At 36.1% G+C, this 20,554-nt stretch overlaps 1 long non-coding RNA gene across 2 annotated transcripts in view, besides 2 other annotated features; it reads right to left on the bottom strand.

The window, feature by feature from the left end:
* LOC105378339 (uncharacterized) overlaps nt 1-20,554 on the bottom strand; it is a 145,924-nt gene that overhangs the window by 102,767 nt on the left and 22,603 nt on the right. The window lies entirely within an intron of this gene.
* Nucleotides 14,191-14,360: an enhancer, noted in NCBI's record as "experimental_15152 CRE fragment used in MPRA reporter constructs". NCBI's record gives its function as "activates a minimal promoter by MPRAs in K562 erythroleukemia cells, with activity observed for both the introgressed and non-introgressed 10:67622381 or rs10996736 variant alleles {active_cell/tissue: K562}" and the evidence as "EXISTENCE:reporter gene assay evidence [ECO:0000049][PMID:34662402]".
* Nucleotide 14,276: a transcriptional cis regulatory region, noted in NCBI's record as "Neanderthal adaptively introgressed variant 10:67622381 (GRCh37/hg19 assembly coordinates) or rs10996736 in the experimental_15152 CRE". NCBI's record gives its function as "modulates activity of the experimental_15152 enhancer by MPRAs in K562 erythroleukemia cells {active_cell/tissue: K562}" and the evidence as "EXISTENCE:reporter gene assay evidence [ECO:0000049][PMID:34662402]".

Genomic DNA, 20,554 nt, shown 5'->3' on the forward strand with positions numbered 1-20,554 from the left:
TTGATAGAAGTGTTCATAGAACACAATAAAAGTACAGAGAAGGAAAGTTAACACAGCTTCAGAGTTGGATAAAGACTAACTCTAAGAGCTGACTCCTTATCTAAATATTGAAGAAGGGTGAATGCCTATAGCAATCCAATTGAGTATCTGCAACAGATTAAAGGGGCTGGAAATATAGATGTAGAATTCATTAACACATTGATAAATCATGTAATCGACTGAAATTACCCAATGAATGTGTAGAGAAAAAAGAGGAATAAACCAAGAATGGGTGGACAGAGGAGGGGCCTGTGAAGAAGGAAGAATGGCCATGGTCTGTTACTCAAAGCTATGTAACGTAGAGACCAAGAAATAGATATTAAGCAAGAATAGCATCAATCAGGAAACATGAGTGCTATTAGAAAGTTGTTCAAAAACTCCTGAAAGAAATAGAAACTCTGAACAGACCAATAACAAGCAGTGAGATTGAAATGGCAATTTAAAAATTGCCAACAAAAAAAAGTCCAGGACCAGACAGATTCACAGCTGAATTCTATCAGATTTTCGAAGAAGAATTGGTACCAATCCTATTGACACTATTCCACAAGATAGAGAAAGAGAGAATCCTCCCTAAATTATTCTATGAAGCCAGTATCACCCTAACCCCAAAACCTGGAAAGGACATAACAACAACAAAACTAAAGACCAATATACCTGATGAATATAGATGCAAAAATCCTTAACATAATACTAGCTGAGTCCATCAGCATATCAAAAAGATAATCCACCATGATCAAATGAGTTTCATACCAGGGATGCAGGGATGGTTTAATATAGTCAAGTCAATAAATGTCATACACCACATAAGCAGAATTAAAAACAAAGATCACATGATCCTCTCAATAGATGCAGAAAAAAAACATTCAACAAAATCCAGCATCTCTTTATGATTAAAACTCTGAGGAAAATCGGCATACAAGGAACATACCTCAATATAATAAAAACTATCTATGACAAACCCACAGCCAACATATACTGAATAGGGACAAGTTGAAAGCATTTCTTCTGAGAACTGGAACAAGATAAGAATGCTCACTCTCACCACTTCTATTCAACATAGTGATGGAAGTCCTAGGCAGAGCAATCAGACAAGAGAAAGAAATAAAGGGCATCCAAATCAGTAAAGAGGAAGTCAAACTGTCGCTGTTTGCTGATGATATGATCGTATGCCTAAAAAGCCTTAAAGCCTTATCCAAAAAGCACCTAGAACTGATAAATTAATTCAGCAAAGTTTCAGGATACAAAATTAATGTACACAAATCAGTAGCACTGCTGTACACTAACAGCAACCAAGCTGGGAATCAAATCAAGAACTCAACCTCTTTTATAACAGCTGTAAAAAAAAAAAAAAAAAAAAAGAAACTTAGGAATATACCTAACCAAAGAAATGAAAGACCTTTACAATGAAAACTACAAAACGCTGCTGAAAGAAACCATAGATGACACAAACAAATGGAAACACATCCCATGCTCATGGATGAGTAGAATCAATATTGTGAAAATGACCATACTGCCAAAAGTAATATACAAATTCAATGTAATTCCCATTAAAATACCACCATCATTCTTCACAGAACTAGAAAAAGTAATCCTATTGTTCCTATGGAATAAAAAAAGAGCCCACATAGCCAAAGAAAGACTAAGCAAAAAAGAACAAATCAGGAGGCATCAGATTACCTGACTTCAAACTAAACTACAAGTGATAGTCACCAAAATAGCATGGTACTGGTATAAAAATAGGTACATAGGCCAATGGAACAGAATCAAGAACCCAGAAATAAAGCCAAATACTTACAGCCAACTGATCTTTGACAAAGCAAACAAAAACATAAAGTAGGGAAAAAACACCATATTCAACAAATGGTGATGGGATAATAGGCAAGCTGCATGTAGAAGAATGAGACTGGATCCTCATCTTTCACCTTATACAAAAATTAACTCAAGGCGGATCAAGGACTTAAATCTAAGATATGAAACCATAAAAATTCTAGAAGATAACATTGGAAAAACCCTTGTAGACATTGGCTTAGGCAAAGACTTCATGACCAAGAACTCAAAAGCAAATGCAACAAAAACAAGGAGAAAAAGATGGGACTTAAAAAAACTAAAAAGCTTCTGCACAGCAAAAGAAACAATCAGCAAACAGACAACCCACAGAATGAAAGAAAATCTTCACAATCTATATACATCCAACAAAGGACTAATAGACAGAATCTACAAGGAACTCAAACAAATTATCAAGAAAAAAACAAACAATCTCATCAAAAAGTGGGCTAAGGACATGAATAGACAATTCTGAAAAGAAGATATACAAATGGCCGACAAACATATAAAAAAATGCTTAACATCACTATTATTCAGGGAAATGCAAATCAGAACCACAATGCAATACCACTTCACTCCTGCAAGAATGGCCATAATTAAAAAAAATCAAAAAATAATAGATATTGGTGTGAATGTGGTGGAAGGGGAACACTTTTATCCTGCTGGTGGGAATGTAACTAGTACAGCCACTATGGAAAACAGTGTGGAGATTTCTTAAAGAACTAAAAGTAGAACTAACCATTTGATCCAGCAATCCCACTACTGGGTATGTACCCAGAGGAAAAGAAGTTGTTATATGAAAAAGATGCTTGCACACGCATGTTTATAGCAGCACAATTCACAATTGCAAAAATATGGAATCAGCCCAAATGCCTATCAATCAACAAGTAGATAAAGAAATTGTGATATATATATATATATACACACACACATACATATATATATACACACACACCATAGAATACTACTCAGTCATAAAAATGAACAAAATAATGGCATTTACAGCGACCTGAATTAGAGACCATTATTCTAAGCGAAGTAACTCAGGAATGGAAAACCAAACACTGTATATTCTCACTCATAAGCAGAAGCTAAGCTATGAGGATGCAAATGCGTAAGAATGATGCAATAGACTTTGGGGACTCAGGAAAGGGTGGGAGGGGGATGAGGGATAAAAGACTACAAATTGGGTACAGTGTACACTGCTCAGGTGATGGGTGCACCAAAATCTCAGAAATCACCACTAGAGAACTTATTCATGTAACCAAACACCACTTGTTCCCCAAAATCCTGTGAAAATAAAAAAATTAAAATTAAAAAATAAAATTGTTCAAAAACAAGCCATCAATTCCAGGGAATTAAATGAGAGGCCAATTTAGGTATAAAATAAATTACTTATCATAAAACTAGATTGCTCATTTCAGATTTGGAATTTAAATCCCAAAGGCAAAATCATGCAGAAAGCCAAAATTGAGTTGTTGGCCAACAGAAGAGCGAAGTAATATAGGAAGTTGGTGGGGAGGACGAGCCTAGAGAAGTTCCTGGGTCCAAAAGCATGTTGCTCATTCTGTTTTTTATACAGGTTACTGGCTGTATTAGAGAGATGGTCTGGGCTTTTAAAGGCATAACTGAAAAGGGAATTTCATACTAGTTATGGTTAATGCCAGAGTGCTAGAACTAGTGAAGCCTACTGGGAGAAGGTATGTTTTTCTAAAGAAAGAATTTTGGCCTTTAATGTTACAACATTCAAATTTGCATCTAAAACTTTCACTCTGGGCAGGTTAGAAAGTTAAAGATATTGGTCAAATGATTGGGCAATTCACCTGTTTTCATTAATCTGTGTTTTGATCCCTATGATGTAAACAATATTAGTGGATGGATTCCAGGATTCTTCTGAGAGAGGGATATCTTTTTGTTTACAGAAATTATTTGATGAGAGATTAACATAAAAAATGATGATTTGAATGCCTGGATGGCTGTCCCGAAAGCAACAGAGAAAATGGTTGATAAGAAAATCAAGAGATGCACTTAAGTTTGACTTGTTTTTGTTTTCTCCTGGGAAGATGAATAGTGTTGAAGGATTAAAAAGATGATAGAAAAAAAGAAATGAGAGAGGCATTATGAAAGAACCCAAGATTGGCTGCTGTAGGATGAGAACAATCACTGGGTACATGTAAATAAGAAATATTATAGAGCGTAGATATTTCTAATAAAGAGTTTTAATCTCTCTTTCTGTTTTTGTGCAATATATGTCATAAATCTCATGCAACCCTCATGTGATTGATTTATTTTCAGAGGCCAATGCTGGTGAAGAAACTGAACATTTTATAACTGGTTAGACATGGTATGGAACAGAGGAAATCCACACTGAAAAAGCTGCTCAGAGGGAGAAGAGAAGAGTAAGTTTAATGATCATATGCAGAATTTGAGGGCTGTCAGGCTACCCTTTGATGTGACATTCAGCTGGGATACGTGGGTTATTAAAGTTAACTTGATTGTAACAATAACTGATAAAAGCTGCTGTATCCTCATTCATAGGTAGATTATGTTTATAAAGAACAGTACCTGATACTACTAGATCAGTTTAAACATAGTTTTGCTATTGTTAAGAGACCAAAGAATTGCTACATTTTGATTGGTTGAATGCACTCGAGGTTTAATGGGTCCATGACAAGTGACACATAGTTACCTGACTACAGTATCAATTCAGGCCAGGCGCGGTGGCTCACGCCTGTAATCCCAGCACTTTGGGAGGCTGAGGTGGGTGGATCACGAGGTCAGGAGATCGAGGCCATCCTGTCTAACACAGTGAAATCCCATCTCTACTAAAAATACAAAAAATTAGCCAGGCGTGGTGGTGGGTGCCTGTAGTCCCAGCTACTTGGGAGGCTGAGGCAGGAGAATGGTGTGAACCTGGGAGGTGGAGCTTGCAGTGAACAGAGGTTGTGCCACTGCACTCCAGCCTGGGTGACAGAGCGAGACTCCCTCTTAAAATAATAATAACAATAATAATAATAATAATAATGCCAATTCAATGGATTCTATCATTAGTTTCCTACAAGAAAAATGCCCCCAAGAAAAAGGGCTGAAAATATGTCTATTTATATCAGGTAGATTACACAGATTATGTTATAAAAATGGAGCAGAAATGAGTTCATTGCCAAATGCTTATCATTCTCATATTATGCCAAGAACATATTGATTATAGTCTAGTGTTAGGCTGATGGCCTATCAAAGTTTCTAGTATAATTCGAACCCTAGTCTGTGACTTATCTTCCATAAACCCAAATTCCTTTTGTCTTTGCTAGATTTTATAAACATAATTTAGCCATGATATTCTTTGTCTTTGTAAATGGACACCATGCAAAGTCCCAAAACTTCTCAAATATCTTAAACTGAAATAATGAATGTACACATTATTATTGTTCATTATTATTGTTGTTTTTGTTACTATTTCTTTTTCTCTTTTTTTAAATTAATTAAATTTTTTTTTTTTTTTGAGATCGAGTCTCACTCTGTTGTCCAGGCTGGAGTGCAATGACGCAATCTTGGCTCACTGCAACCTCTGCCTCGCAGGTTCAGGCGATTCCTCTGCCTCAGCCTCCTGAGTAGCTGGGATTACAGGTGCGCACCCATGCCTGGCTAATTTTTGTACTTTTAGTAGAGACGGGGTTTTACCGTGTTGGTCAGGCTGGTCTCAAACTCCTGACCTCGTGACCTTCCCGCCTCGGCCTCCCAAAGTGCTGGGATTACAGGTGTAAGCCACTGCACCCAGCCTACTATTACTATTTCTAAGCAGCCTCCTATATGATGTTAAGCTGTGTCCAAATAGCTTAATTATCAAGGCTAAGAACAGAGACAAACTTTTGTTTCCAAACATTTATTGATCAAGAATAAAGTACTTTAAACAAATAAATAGCTTGCCTGCAAAATAACTTACCTGAACAAACAGTTTGCTCACTGGGGCAAACAACTTACTTTCCACAGAATAGTTTACTTACAAAGATTTTTTTTCAGGTCCACCAATCAAACAATGATATTATAAATGCTGCCCAGTTATAATCAATTTCTCTCTTCTAAAGACTTGCCTTAAATCCCTGAAACTCAGATACGAAACTCTCTCTATATATCATCTCCTTAACCTTCTAAGAAAGAGGTTCCCAACCTTTGTGACGCCAGGGACCGGTTTCATGGAAGACAATTTTTCCACAGATTGGGGGTTGGAGGAGATGGTTTGGGGATGAAACTGTCCCACTTCAGATCATCAAACATTAAATTCTCATAAGGAGCACACAACCTAGATCCCTTGCGTGCAGTTTACAATAGGGTTCTCCCTCCTATGAGAATCTAATGCTGCCGCTGATCTGACAGGAGGTGGAGCTCAGGTGGTATTGCTAACTCGCCTGCTGCTCACCTCCTGCCATGCAGCCCAATTCCAAACAGGTACTGGTCTGTGGCCCAGGGGTTGGGGACCCCTATTCTTAAACATTAAGACTCTGTCAAGGTAGTTTTCTTACCTAGACCTAGCTTTGATTCATCAACGGTTTTTCTGGTGGTCTTTTTGTCTTTTTGGGGAGTTGAGTCATCAAATTTTAACAAGTTAATTACTTCTCTGTATCTCAGTTACAGTATTTGTAAACAAGAGCCATGATATTATTTGTTTGATGAAATAATTTAAGTAACATGACTTATGACAGTTTCCAGAACACAATGAATGTTTAGTAAATGTGGATTATTATTAACAGAAAGCATTAAGAACTTCCTTGTTGTTCTTAGAAATAAACACACAGTAATCCCAGCACTTTGGGGGGCCGAGTTGGGTGGATCACTTGAGGTCAGGACTTCAAGACCAGCCTGGCCAACATGGTGAAACCCCATATCTACTAAAAATACTAAAATTAGCCAGGCATGGTGGTGCATGCCTGTAATCCCAGCTACTTGGGAGGCTGAGGCACGAGAATCACTGGAACCCAGGAGGCAGAGGTTGCAGTGAGCCAAGATCATGCCACTACATTCCAGCCTGGGCGACAGAGCAAGACTCCGTCAAAAAAAAGAAAGAGAGAGAGAGAGACAGAAAGAAAATAGGTTTGCATTTTTATAATGATAACAATTTTTCCTCCATTGAAAATCACAGTAGCTATAAATGATATTAAACTATTTCTTAACTTCTTTTACTTTAATCTGTTTGTTTAAACCAGGTGTGGAAACTTGCTAGGTACAGTTTCCTCAAGTAGGTGATGGAATTAAAAAGGAATAAAAAACTAAAGAATAAACTATCATTCCTTATGGGATATGCCCCAGGAAAGAAGTGTAGATATTTCTTGGACAGTACTATACCTAAGGAAATCTAAAATAATGAAATTTGTTGGATATCAACAACGTCCAGAACATCAAAGAATAGAGTGAGAAAAAAACAAGTGATAATCAGTCAGGGGATATATGTTACTCTTTCCATGGTAAAATCCATCTATAAAATTAACTCAGCATTACCTTTCTATTGAACTATTAAAATATCATCATGTTTTTATTATTGCATTAAAACTCTTTTTATTCACAAGTTTATAGGACAAACTTGACACAACCATAAAGCTTACATAAACAGGTGAGATCCAGTCTAAATTTGGATATCTTAAACCTAGAGGCCAGTTTTTTTGCTTGAGTATGTGTTGTCACACTTGTCCAAGTTAAAACTTTCTTCCAGATTGTGAGGAATGTGTAGCAGACAACTTGTTAAACAGAAGTTATTTTACCTGTTAACTTCAAATTCAAAATAGAAAAATGATTCATAAACCTCTTATGCTGACCAATAGAGCAAACATCATTATTCCATAGTTGCACTACTAAATTTACTACTGAATGCACCATACAAATTTCCATAGAAGCCCTTGGTTTTCTTTTATTTAAAATTTTTATTGCAAGTCGTGTGGGAAACTGCAGAGTTCTATAAAACAAGTTACCTCAGTTTCAATTTAAACTAAATTTCTATCTTTAAAGTGATAGGAAATGTTTTCATTTGCTGGAGCTCTGACTTCTACCATTTTATGAATCCTATTTATTTAATTGCCCAAGGATCAAGTGGTGTTTTCATTGATACAGCACAGCAACAGCCACAGGGGACTGACTTTTCTATTCTTTAATTTAGTTGAAAACAAACAGACAAATACAATCTTTTTGGAGGAGGGCAGTTAAAACTTGTTTACAGCTGGGCGTGGTGGCTCACACCTGTAATCCCAACACTTTGGGAGGCCGAGACGGGCCGATCACTTGAGGTCAGGAGTTCCAGACGAGTATGGCGAAACCCCGTCTCTACTAAAAATACAAAAATTAGCCAGGTGTGGTGGTGTATGCCTGTAATCCCAGCTACTGGGGAGGTTGAGTTAGGAGAATTTCTTGAACCTGGGAGGTGGAGGTTGCGGTGAGCCAAGATCACACCAATGCACTCCAGCCTGGGCAACAGGGCAAGACTCTGTCCAAAAAAAAAGTCTTATTTTCTTCATCCTTTTAAAAATTTCCATCATCTGTACAATCGACTTTCTTGTACAGAGCCACCTGTTTGGGGGAAAATAACCAAGACCCTTGTCGTTTCATAATAATTTTATGAGGGTAAATATAAAGTGCATGTAAGTCGCACTGAAATTTTTGTTTTTGCATAATCAGATAATTTCACTCAGTATTTATCAAACTCTGATATGTGTGTTGTGATCATCTCAATAAATTATATGTTGTCACTATAATCATCATTAAATAAATAATGGATAGAATATATCACCATAAGTAAATAGATCATACATAGCAACATTAACTAATGTTTACTTCATTATCATCTCTCATGTGCGTCAAGGAAGAGAATCTTGGAAATAAATTTTGTAGAATCTCCTTCCATGCCTTCTACCTGATTTATAGCCTTCAACTGAGAAGTACTCAGGTAAGATTTGGAAAGCAGAATAGATGAAGCCATTGTTTTCTATTGACAATTCAGATGAACTCACTCACAAGCAATATTGAACTCTCTCAAGAGCTCACCTCCTTTGAGCATGCAAACAATTAAAATCTGCAGCGGTGGTGGTCTCCATGTGAAGTTCTCCTAGAGAATGTATCCTAGTCTCTAGACTGTTGAAACCAATTTAATTCTGTCTGGGAGTTGAGACTGCCACCAATGTCTTCCTCTAAAATGCTAAGACTCACGACAACTTCCAAATGAACTCCAGTGAATCACAACTTCTGGAAGCTTTTCTTTCCTTTATTTCATCAGCACTTCCAAAGCTATGCGTAAATCTAATATTATGATTTTTCTGCTGAAAACCCTCCAATAGCTCTCTAGTGTCCTTATGATATAGAGCTAAATCCTTTTGTGATTTGCGATATCCTGCACTATCAACCTTAACCTCTTCCCAGCATGTTCTACTCTTTGTAGCCACTGGCCCTTTCATTGTTTTTCCAAAACTCTAACACTTCATGTTTAGGTTTGTAATTTCTTCTCAGAGATATCTCATGTTAACATTGGGAATGGAGAAGTCGGTGCTATTTCTCTAATATCAAATAATGACTAATTCTGCCAGAAGCATAAATTCATAAATTTCCCTGTGCCCACAAAAAACATCTAAAGGCCTGACTAAAATTAGTCAAAGAGGTTACAACAATGCATAAAAACTATTACTTTCATTTTCTGAAAACAAGTTTTAATTGTAAACAGTTTACAACACTTCAATTGGGCTTATCACACCTTCACAAATTCAAGACTCTTGATGGTGAATGATTTCTAGAATGAAATTAACACTGACATTGAAGGAATCTTAAGTAGAGGGTAGAAAAAGTAAATATGAGAAAAATAAATGTAAGAATATAAAAGTAATTTCAGTGACTATGTTGATAAATCTCTGTCTCTCTGGTATCAAACCCCTGTTGTCCTTTATTTTGGTTTCTAGATATGGGTTCTAGATGCAAAGAATAGTACAAAGAGATATCTATTTATTAGATTTTTGTATTTTTATTAATAACATTAATTTTAAATAATTTCAGAGTTTAAAAATATTGCAAAAATTCCACAAAAATCTCCATTTTCCCCTCATTTGGCTTCCTCAAAGGTTAAGATCTTATATAACTCCAGAGCAATTATCTAAATAAGGACAATAAAGTTGATTCAATTCAGTTAACTAAACTGCAGATCTTATTCAAATTTCCTCAACTGTTTTGTCAAGTTTTTTATTGTTGGTCCAGGATCCTACATTGTATTTAGTTGTCATGTCTCTGTAGTCTCCTTCAATCTTCGGTTGTTCTTTAATCTTTTTTCATCTTTCATGAGATAGCAAAAAGGTCACAAAAGTGATTGTGTTGTGATCATCCCAATAAATCATATCAGGAGGTACATGATAACAATTTGTATCATTATTGGTGATGTTAACTTCAATCATTTTACTAAGGTAATGTGTGCCAGGTTTCGTCATGGTAGTGTTACCATTTTTCTTTCTTTTTTCTTTTCTTTTTTTTTTTTTTGAGGCAGAGTCTTTCTCTGTTGCCTGGGCTGGAGTACAGTGGTGTGATCTCTGCTCACTGCAGCCTTCATCTCCTGGGTTCAAGCAATTCTTCTGCCTCAGCCTCCTGAGTAGCTGGGACTACGGGTGCATGCCACCACATCCAGCTAATTTTTTTGTATTTTTGGTAGAGACAGGGTTTCATCATATTGGCCATTTCAGTTATTTATATGATAATAGTATCATGAATATTTATTTTATTCTGTTTATATTAGAATAAAATCATGGATATGCAGCTGTTTATGTTGTGTCATATTTGGCCATCGAGAGCCCCTTCAAGCTGTGCCTCTTGACATACCGCCATCACTTTTTGGAGCATTTCTTAACTTTATGCTGCCACAAGTTATTCCAGGATCAACTTGAATTTTCCATGTCCCAGGAGTTTTTTTTATTAGACAAAAATATTTAGAAAATAAGATCTTTGCACTAGATATTCTTACTTCTACTACTAGTGTAGGTTTTTTCTTAGCCTTCTGAACAGACATATGCACATACACATATATCTAACTCTATTTATATATTTATCTACCTATGTTTACAATATTTAAGTCAGAATTCATACTGACAACTCTAATTCCAAATTAACTCCATGGAATTCTTTCTAGCCTTTTCTTTCCTTGTTTATAACTCCTTCACTGGAAGAAGAAAATGGACTCTCATTATCTGCAAGGTATTTCCTTATTTACTTGGCCTTAGAATACTTTATATTTTATATAAAATATTTCAAATTTTTTTTTGAACACATAGTTATTTAATATTTAGAAATTTGTAAAATATTAATTTAAAAAATATTTAACCTTCAGATTAATTTATATGAATTTGTAATAGTGGAGAAAATACACTTTCTTTACAAATGCAGGAAAATTTATAAAGGGAATTATATTTAGACCCCTGGAGCCATCTAGAAGGTCATAACTTGGAACAAAACAACATGGTTAAAAAGATAATGCAGACAATGAATTATTACAGGCTAAACACAGAGTAGTGGACAGTGAAAACAGTTACTAGTATTAAAAACCAAAGAAAATGTTTCGGTGCCAAAACGTATAACATTTTGATTAAGAACATGGACTCTAGAGTCAGACTCCTCACATTTCAAATATAGGCTGTATCACTTACAAGCAGAATAATTTCATACAACTTTTGTACCTCATTTCCTCATTTGAAAAATGAACATGATAATAATGGGACCCAAACTTATAGGATTTTTAAGAGGATGTAATGTGTATTGTATATGATTGTGTATGTGACTTTGTATAAGTAAATGATTTCACATAGCTGTGTGATTTTGTATGTACTTGTGATTGTACATGTGTGTGTGATTGTGTATGTACATGTTATTGTGTATGTGATCATGTGAATACATATATATTTGAGCATGTATATGTTTTCCTGCCCATGTTTATGAGTATGTGATTGAGTCGAAGTATGTGATTATAATTGTGAATGTGATTATGAATATATGTTTATGAGAGTATGTGCATGTGTATGTAATATACTTACATATGTGCATGTGAGGATATGAGTCTGTGTAAAGTACTCAGAATGCTTGCCACATAGTAGGTGCTCCCTGGAAGCTAATTGTAGCTAAAAAAGGTAATTGCATTGAAAGGGAGGGAAGACATGGAGGGAAAACAGGCTGAGAATATTTTAACAACAGAATGACTTTGAGTAAAATTAGCACACTTTTGTTTGTGTTCAGAGGGGTGAAGACTGGTTTGGACAATTAGTGGGGAGGAACATTTAAAAGCTACTAAAATGAAAGCAAAGAGGCACAAGGTATCCATATTACCCTGTGAAAAACTAATTTACTAAAAAATACAGTATTTTCATATGGTTCTTTTTGTCTTGTCTTTTAGTATATAGTAAAAATGCCATTTTCAAGGTTACTTCGGTAGGTTCTACATCCTTCAGTGGGGTTGTGTCATTTATTTGTAATACCATTACATTCATTTGTAAGTGAAATCCAGAAGAAGAAGAAAGAAACAGGACAGCAAAACACATTTTAAAAGATATTGGTTGAAAGTTTTCAAAATTAATGACACATACCAAACCAGAAGAAAGACACTTAGATCACCAAAGTAGTATAAATACCAAACAAAAGTAAAAATGAAATAACCTCTGAACTCAATATAAAGTACAATGAACATTTCTAATATCTTTGTCAATCAGGGGCTCTGGTGGAGTCTTGAAACTAGAAAGAGGAATTGTTAAATAAAGAAATTTTATTCTCATTTTTAGCCATTTTATATCAACCAGTTAAATGGGATATTAAGCTTTCTATACAATGAAGGAAGAGGAAATTTCATATAAGCACACTCCCTCTCTTCTCAGAGGCCAGCATTTGAAATCTTTTGCATCTACTTGCAAAATGTAGACATATACAATGTGTACATCCCCCCTCCTCTAGCTTCCCATCTTCTGAGATTCCCTTTTGCCTTTACTTCTCATCCTACACACTTAAAACCACTTACTTAACATTTTGCCTTTATGTAGTAAATATTTGGCATCTCTGCTTATAAGCTTTGTCTCATTTGTGACTTCCTCAGTTACTCCTATAGATAACATTACTATTGTAAAACATAAGATTTGATTTGATTTGTTTTACAGACTGACCTTACCCAGATTCATGACTAATGACTCAACAGGTCCTGTGGCCTCACTCAGCAGCTGACTCAAAACACAAGGACTGTTTTTCACACCCCTGTGATTTTATCTCCAATGAATCAGCAAGCACTCATTACCTGGCCCTTGCCCTGCCCACCAAATTGTCTATATGAACCCTAACCTTTGAGCCTTTGAGAAGATTGATTTGAGTGATCACTGCCATTCTCCTGTGTGGCCAGCCTCAGGTTAATTAAACTCTTTCTCTACTGCAATGGCATGGTCTCTGTGAACCAATTTTGTCTGCACAGTGAGCAGGAAAAACCTGTGGGAGGATGATTATAGTACTTTTCACGGAATCTGAAGCCCTCCTGCCTCCTAGCTTTCAAGTACAACCCTTGCCTTCCATACTGTTCTTCAGATTTTGTTTTGCAGAGTCTTCTTGTGAGACATGTAGAAACAATGAATTTTTGAATCTGCCACATGATTACACCATTCAAGCAAATTCTGATCACCTTCTCTTGCATTAGTACTTGATTTTGTTTTTTTTTTCTCCATCTCCCTGTGCTTTATTTATAATTGATTTAAATTCCCTAGGCCATACCCTTATAGAAACTCTATTACTTTAAGGCATATTTAATAAGTATAAAAATATTACACCCTGATCTTCCAGGTCTTCTTCATTCAAATTTGTTCACATGTTGAACCATCTTGTAGCAGAATTCATCATTATAAGCTGTTTCTCAATTGCTTTTATAATTAATTCCTGATTTACAGCTTTGAGAGAACTCCTTGTATAGATCTTGGGGTCTTAGCTCCTCTGGAGGCATTAATTAATTTGGTACCTGAGTTCCTCTCTTTTATATTTTGTTAGATTTTTTTAACATCTAGTGGCTAATTGACCAATAATAGCTCAATTATCTCCTCTTCTTACTTCTACTTCTTAGTTCCACTTTTGTGTATAAAGTAGATCTCCTTTTTTATTGTATAGACAGACAGATGATAGAAAGATAGATAAATAGCCAGTCTGATCTTTAAGATCTGATCTTTCTCAAGAAGTCACTTCCTTCCATCTGGCAACATGTGTCCCATTTTACTTTTCTTTCATTTTTCCATGTTCAAAATTAGACTGAAGATAATTTTGAACTGTAACTGTTACCATTCACTCTCCTCTAAACACATATGATACCTAGAAGATCTAGGTTTAAGTCTTTTTAATTTTCTCCCCAGACTTTGTTATTACAGAATTACATAAAAATATTTTTCCACCTCAATCCAAGAAAATGACATATTTCCATATAAGGATCCCCACTCATTTTTGTCTGCTTGTCAGTGAGATTAACTAATTCAGTATAATTAACCTACAGCCCAGGTCTATAGACTATAATCAGAGTTTATGAAATAAACAATAAAATTTAGACTATGTGTGATTGGGGATGATTGCCTGCATCCTGGTAAGGACATAATAAAAGGGAAGAGTACAAAACAAACAAAAAAAAGATCTCTTCCAGTCAACTATGCTGAAAAAGACAAGTTGCCAATTATGCTTTAAAAAGCATAGTGAAGTTGTTTTGAGGTAAGACTTACCTAGAAATTAACAACAACAACAACAACAAAATATTATGACAATATGGCATCTAGAATATCCAGGTCTATAATTACATCTGTGGTCACAGTATGAGAAGCTACCAAATGTGCCACCTGTGTCTCACCTGGCCAGTTTCAGCAGATGTACCCAAAGCTTGATTTCCTGTACAGTACTTCAATCAAACCCATCCAGTATCTGTTCTTATTTATAAGGATTTCTTGCCAATTCCTTAACAGTTTGCCGTGGTGAGAGGAGGTATAAAAGTCATTCTAAGAATTATTTATGCCTTGCTTGGGTTTATAACCAATGAAGAGTAGACCCAAGCAACTGGGCCTGGCTGGATATGAATTGAGGATTCATGTGTTAGTATTACTAACTGGCCAGGCAGTTTCCTAATAGTTCACTACTCTGAAAGAATAAGGCCCTCTAATAAAGTTAAATTGGAGAATGCAGCTTAGCTCAATGATCAAAGTGGGGGCCACATTTAGAACTCCTTACATTTAGAACTGCATGACCATTGGTGGAAAGAACTGAGTCTACAGAGATATTATAGCTAATGACATAGAAGATTAGACATAGACCTTTTTCAAGTTCATGACTGCTGGCAGGAGAGGGAACACAAAGGAGAAAAAGATGGGCACACACTGTCTTCTTAATGTAGTGACCCCCCAACTCCTAGTGTAAATATAAGATGTTCAATAATAAGAGTAAATATATTTCCCAGAGGAGAAGACTGAATTAATTAGATGCAAAGAGAGACTAAAAGTGGTTAATTCCTGAAACCTGTTCTTGTGAAGAAAGAAAAATCGCATTTCTTTTTTCTATTAATTAACGTATTTTATTTATTTATTTATTTATTTTAGAGACCTGGTCTCGCTCTGTTGCTTAGGTTGGAGCACAGTGGGGCTTAATCATAGCCCACCGGGCTTAAGTGATCCTTCCACCTCAAAGTCTCAAGTAGCTGAGGCTACAGGTGTACATCACTATGCTTGGCTATTTTTTTTCTATAGAAGTGGAATGCAAAGATTGGTGAACTAAGAAATTTCTTAAAATAAACATTTAAAATTAGTAAAATTTTCAAAAAATATAAGAATAGATTGGAGAAGAAAAAATTCAGGTAACATTTTCAAAAAAGATGTCAAGAAAAGGGTATAATCAAAATACATTAATGTAAGAAAACAGAGTAAGAAGAGAGTGAGTAGAGACTCAGCTACAGGAATATATTTGGAGAAGAAAAATTATTGGAAACAAAATTGGGAATGGAAACCAGATGGCAAGGCCTAAAAAGAATAAGTAAAAGGAGACAAAAAAAACATATTCTTCACTTAAAAGTCTGGTAGAATGTGAAGGTTTTTCCATGATGGGCAGAATTGCACATGCTTACAATAACAGAAGGTCAAGGAAAAAAGGAAAAGTGCCTGGGATGTGAAAAAAAAAAAAGTATTCAATGAGAAGAGGCCTCTTGATTTGGTTCTGGGATTTATTTTATCAAAAAATCTATGTAGTTTCCCAAACATCTGGTGCTAAAAATTAAGGCAATTTATTGTGGAAATTAAGAGGCCAAGAAGGGATGTACAAGGTTTAGAGGAAACGAGGAGGGAAGGCCTTATTTCAAACTGGAGGGGAAATTTTTTCCTCTATAATTTCTTTCTGTTTCAAAATAAAAGTAGATTTTTAAAGAACCCAAGAAGTCTCACAGTTAAATAAAAAGTCTATCTACACTGGACATTTGTAAGTAAAATGAAACCTAACTCTGAAGTAGTGGGGAGGGGAGACAGAACACATGGTGTGTTAAACTAGCATGTGGTGAATGAGACTATGACCATGAGGCCTAGGGAAAAACATCCCAAAGAATAGACATGGGGAGTATGATAGGGAATCAGAATGAAGAAGGGATGCTATGCAGGAGTCTTGCTCTTAGCTTTGCTGCAGGGGTAGCATTACTTTTCTGTTTTTTTTTTTTAGATAGGGTCTTGCTCTGCCCCCTAGGCTGGAGTGTACTGGAGTAAACACAGCTCACTGCAGCCTTGAGCTCCTAGGTTCAAGACCTCCTGGGTTCAAGAGATCCTTCTGCCTCAATCTCTCATGTAGCTGGGACCACAGTCACATGCCACCATACCTGGCTAATTTATTTATTAATGCTTTTTGTAGAGATGGGTGTCTCACTTTGTTGCTCAGGCTGGTCTCGAACTCCTGAGCTCAAGCAATCCTCCCACCACAGCCTCCCAAAGTGTTGAATTACTGACATGAGCCACTGCACTCAGCCAGCATTATTTTTCATGAAACAAGACTACAGGGTAACAGTACCTCCCATAAAATTGCCCTGGAGAGTGATATGTTCTGACCCATCCTCCCAGGTTTGTAGTTAAGTGATATGACAGCTACCACCTTTAGTTCATGTATAGCTCTATGGGGTGTGGGACAGAGCCATGGGGGTTTGTTTGTTTTAATTTGATTTTCTCGTATTTTAATTAACATCAAGGTCTTAGACAGAGTGAAAGGGTTAACTGGGTCTAATTGTATTACATTGGCACAGCAGTAGATTAAAATAAATCAGATTCCTAGGTTTAGAGCTCAACGTGTCAGTAGAACATTTTCCACAAATGTACTGAAGACACCAAAACCACTGTTAATTCTCACCATGCTACTTCGGTAGAGTTTGAGGAAACAAATTATATTTTCCTAATTTCCCCAGAAAAACTGCTTTCATTACTCACTGGGTCAGCTTAATAAGATCTTAATATGATCTTTTAATAGGCATCATTTTTATGAGCCTGGGGTGGAATATTTTTAGCTATAGTAACTCAGAGTTCTTGAATTTTTTTCCCACCAAAATCCTTTAAACAAGGACAAGAGTTAAAATGTCACTAGCACCAAGAGAAGGAGCATGTGTTTGGTTATAAGTGGTTATCCACATGAAAACTATTTATCTGAAATCTTAAGTTATAATTTTTAAACATTGTGATAATTCAATATTGTATTACATGATATAATTTTTGTTATTTTAATGTAAAAATAATATTGTAAATTATTTCATTTTCTGCCAAGTTAACAAGTGATGTAGGCCTTTTTCACAAATGTATTTCAAATCTCATAAATGAAAAGGATCTTTAAGATCATCTTCATACAAAATTCCCTATTTATTTATTTATTTATTTATTGGAGAAGGAATCTCGCTTTGTCGCCCAGGCTGGAGCAGTGGCGCAATCTCGGCTCACTGCAAACTCTGCCTCCCTGGTTCAAGGGATTCTCCTGCCTCAGCTTCTTGAGTAGCTGGGATTACAGGTGCCTGCCACCACGCCTGGCTAATTTTTGTATTGTTTTTAATAGAGACAAGGTTTCACCATGTTGGCCAGGCTGGTCTTGAACTCCTGACCTCAGGCGATCCGCCCGCCTCGGCCTCCTAGAGTGCTGGGATTACAGGCATGAGCCACTGTGCCTGGCCAAAACTCACTTTATAAAGTGAGTTTCTCAGTGGGTGAGTAACTTGACCAGTGTCACAAAACTAAGTTACATTAAATTAAGGATCAGAAACAAATCCTATTAATGCAAAAACCATTTTAAGTTTTACTTAAAAATTTCAGCCTCAAAATAAGAGTTTCAATAAATTAATTATGTATTTCAGATGTAAAAATTACAGTCAGATAAAACAAAATTATGAGATGTCATTATTATTCACTATTATGGAATAAATATGAGGTTGATGCTTTCTGGGTTTCTAAACTTTGGCTATTAGAGAATTTTAGGAACATAGACTCAACGATTTGTAAAAGGATACAGAATTCTGCTGTCCCTATTCTATGCAATGTAAAATGACACAAGAACATTCTAAACAAGATTTCCCCAGCTTCATTGGTAGTGCTTTCATGCTGCACTGTATTTATATCCTGTTCAAGCACTGAGGTCCAGGAAAGCAATTCAATGATTATATTTCTTAAAGTTTCAATACTAAAAACAAAATTGAACTGAGCATATGCACTTGTGATTTATTCACTAAACTTTTGCTAATAAAATATTAAACCTATTTCTTTGGTCATGAAATTTTACACCCCCAAAATAAATTTACAAAGCTGAGAAATATACTAACTTCAACAGTATAATTTTCATGGATTCTTTATTCAACAATTTTTTTTTAACAGTAATTCCTAAAGCTTTTGTCAAAAGATATTTTCAATAATAAGATAAGCACTCTTAACTTTTTTGTGTATGTCTGAGGTGTGGGGGACAGGAGCTAGCATTTTCTGCTTATTCAAATACTGGATTTTTATCACGTCTTGAGTACCCATTTGTACTTAAGGGAAAATAAAATACATTGACAATCTTGAATACTGTTTACTCTCTGCTAAGTTGATAAGGAATCCACTTCTGTCAGTTGCTTCTGGGTTCCTCAAGGGTCTCAATTTTTATCACTCTGTAGAGGCCAGGTAAAAATGATTGTGTGTGACAGAATGCTAGATAAACATTTTTTCTCAACAGAAAATAAGGACATTGGTCTCATTTAACTCCTTTAATTTCAGCCTACTCATCTATAAAGTGTAAATTTCAGGATGTATTACTGCATTGCATAATGTTGTAATAATTAATCAAGCTATGTATATAAAAAAGATTTAAAAGCTGTTATGCAAGATCAAGTGTAAGGCATTTTAAAAAGAATTATGTGAAATGGCTTTGTGATATTTCTTGTTGCTATGAATCTTAATCATTGAGAAATAAAAAAGCTGAGGCAAATTTGAATAAAGCGATATTATGTGGTTCATGTATCACCATTCCCAAGTATCCTGGAGCCTCCAACAGTAATGTAAGGAAGATATTTTTTCTGTGAAACACACCAAGTAAATGGCGGATGGTATAATGGAACTGAATGGAGATCGGCTCACCCCGTGCAGTTAAGACCAAATATTCACACCAAGGTTTTGCAGCAGCAGAAAGGAAAGTGTTTACTTGCAGGATGTCAAGCAAGGAGAACCAAGCATCTAATGCTTAAATCCTGACCTTCCCGATGACTTATAGGTAAGGAGTTTTTTTGTTTTTTGGTTTTTTTTTTTGAAATGGCGTTTCGCTTTGTTGCCAGACTAGAGTGCAGTAGCGCGATCACGGCTCACTGCAACCTCTGCCTCCCGGCTTCAAGTGATTCTCCTGCCTCAGCCTCCTGACTAGCTGGGACTACAGGCGCACGCCACCACCCCCAGCTAATTATTGTATTTTTAGTAGAGATGGGGTTTCACCCTGTTGGCCAGGATAGTCTCGATCTCTTGACCTCGTGATTCGCCCGCCTCGGCCTCCGAAAATGCTGGGATTTTTAAAGGCAGAGGTAAATTTCAGGAAACCAGAAGTTACAGGCAAAATTGTAAATCAATACATGGAGGTTACAACTTGGTTTTGGCCTAAAAAGGTGAGATATCTTGAAGTGGGAGCTTACAGGTAATAGGTAGATTCAAGGATTTTCTGATTTGCAATTAATTAGGGAAGAGAAGTTTTGTTTAAAAATTTGATGTCAACAGAAAAGAATGTTAGTTCTGATTCATGGGTGTGACTCCCTCCAGGCCCCTCAGGAAGAAATTTAGAACAAAGAACAATGATCAGAGTTCAGAGTTCAGTTCCCCTTTCTGGAAAAGGTCTCCATGCCAGCTGATCTGTTTGGTTGGGGTCCAGGTTTCCGAAAAACAATTCAGGGACAGATTTTAAGATATTATCTTTAGTTTCCCTAGGGAATAAAAACATCTCCCGACTCTAATTTCCTTGACTATTATTTTAAGTTCTTACTTGCTTTTTTATCAAGTTGCTAATTTGCTTTTCGGGGCTAGCTAAGGGCCCGGAATTTCTCTTGAAGGAACTCAAGATTTTCCTTCCATGCTTGTGTGTGGCGGGGGAGGGGCGGGGGTGGTAGGTAGCGGTGCATCAGCAGGCCCTTTAAACAAGGCCCTTGACCTGTCTCAATAGTGGCTCAAGACCAGGGTAGTGACTGCAC

This window comes from Homo sapiens, chromosome 10 (genome assembly GCF_000001405.40).
Source record: "Homo sapiens chromosome 10, GRCh38.p14 Primary Assembly".
NCBI classification, from domain to species: Eukaryota; Metazoa; Chordata; class Mammalia; order Primates; family Hominidae; genus Homo; species Homo sapiens.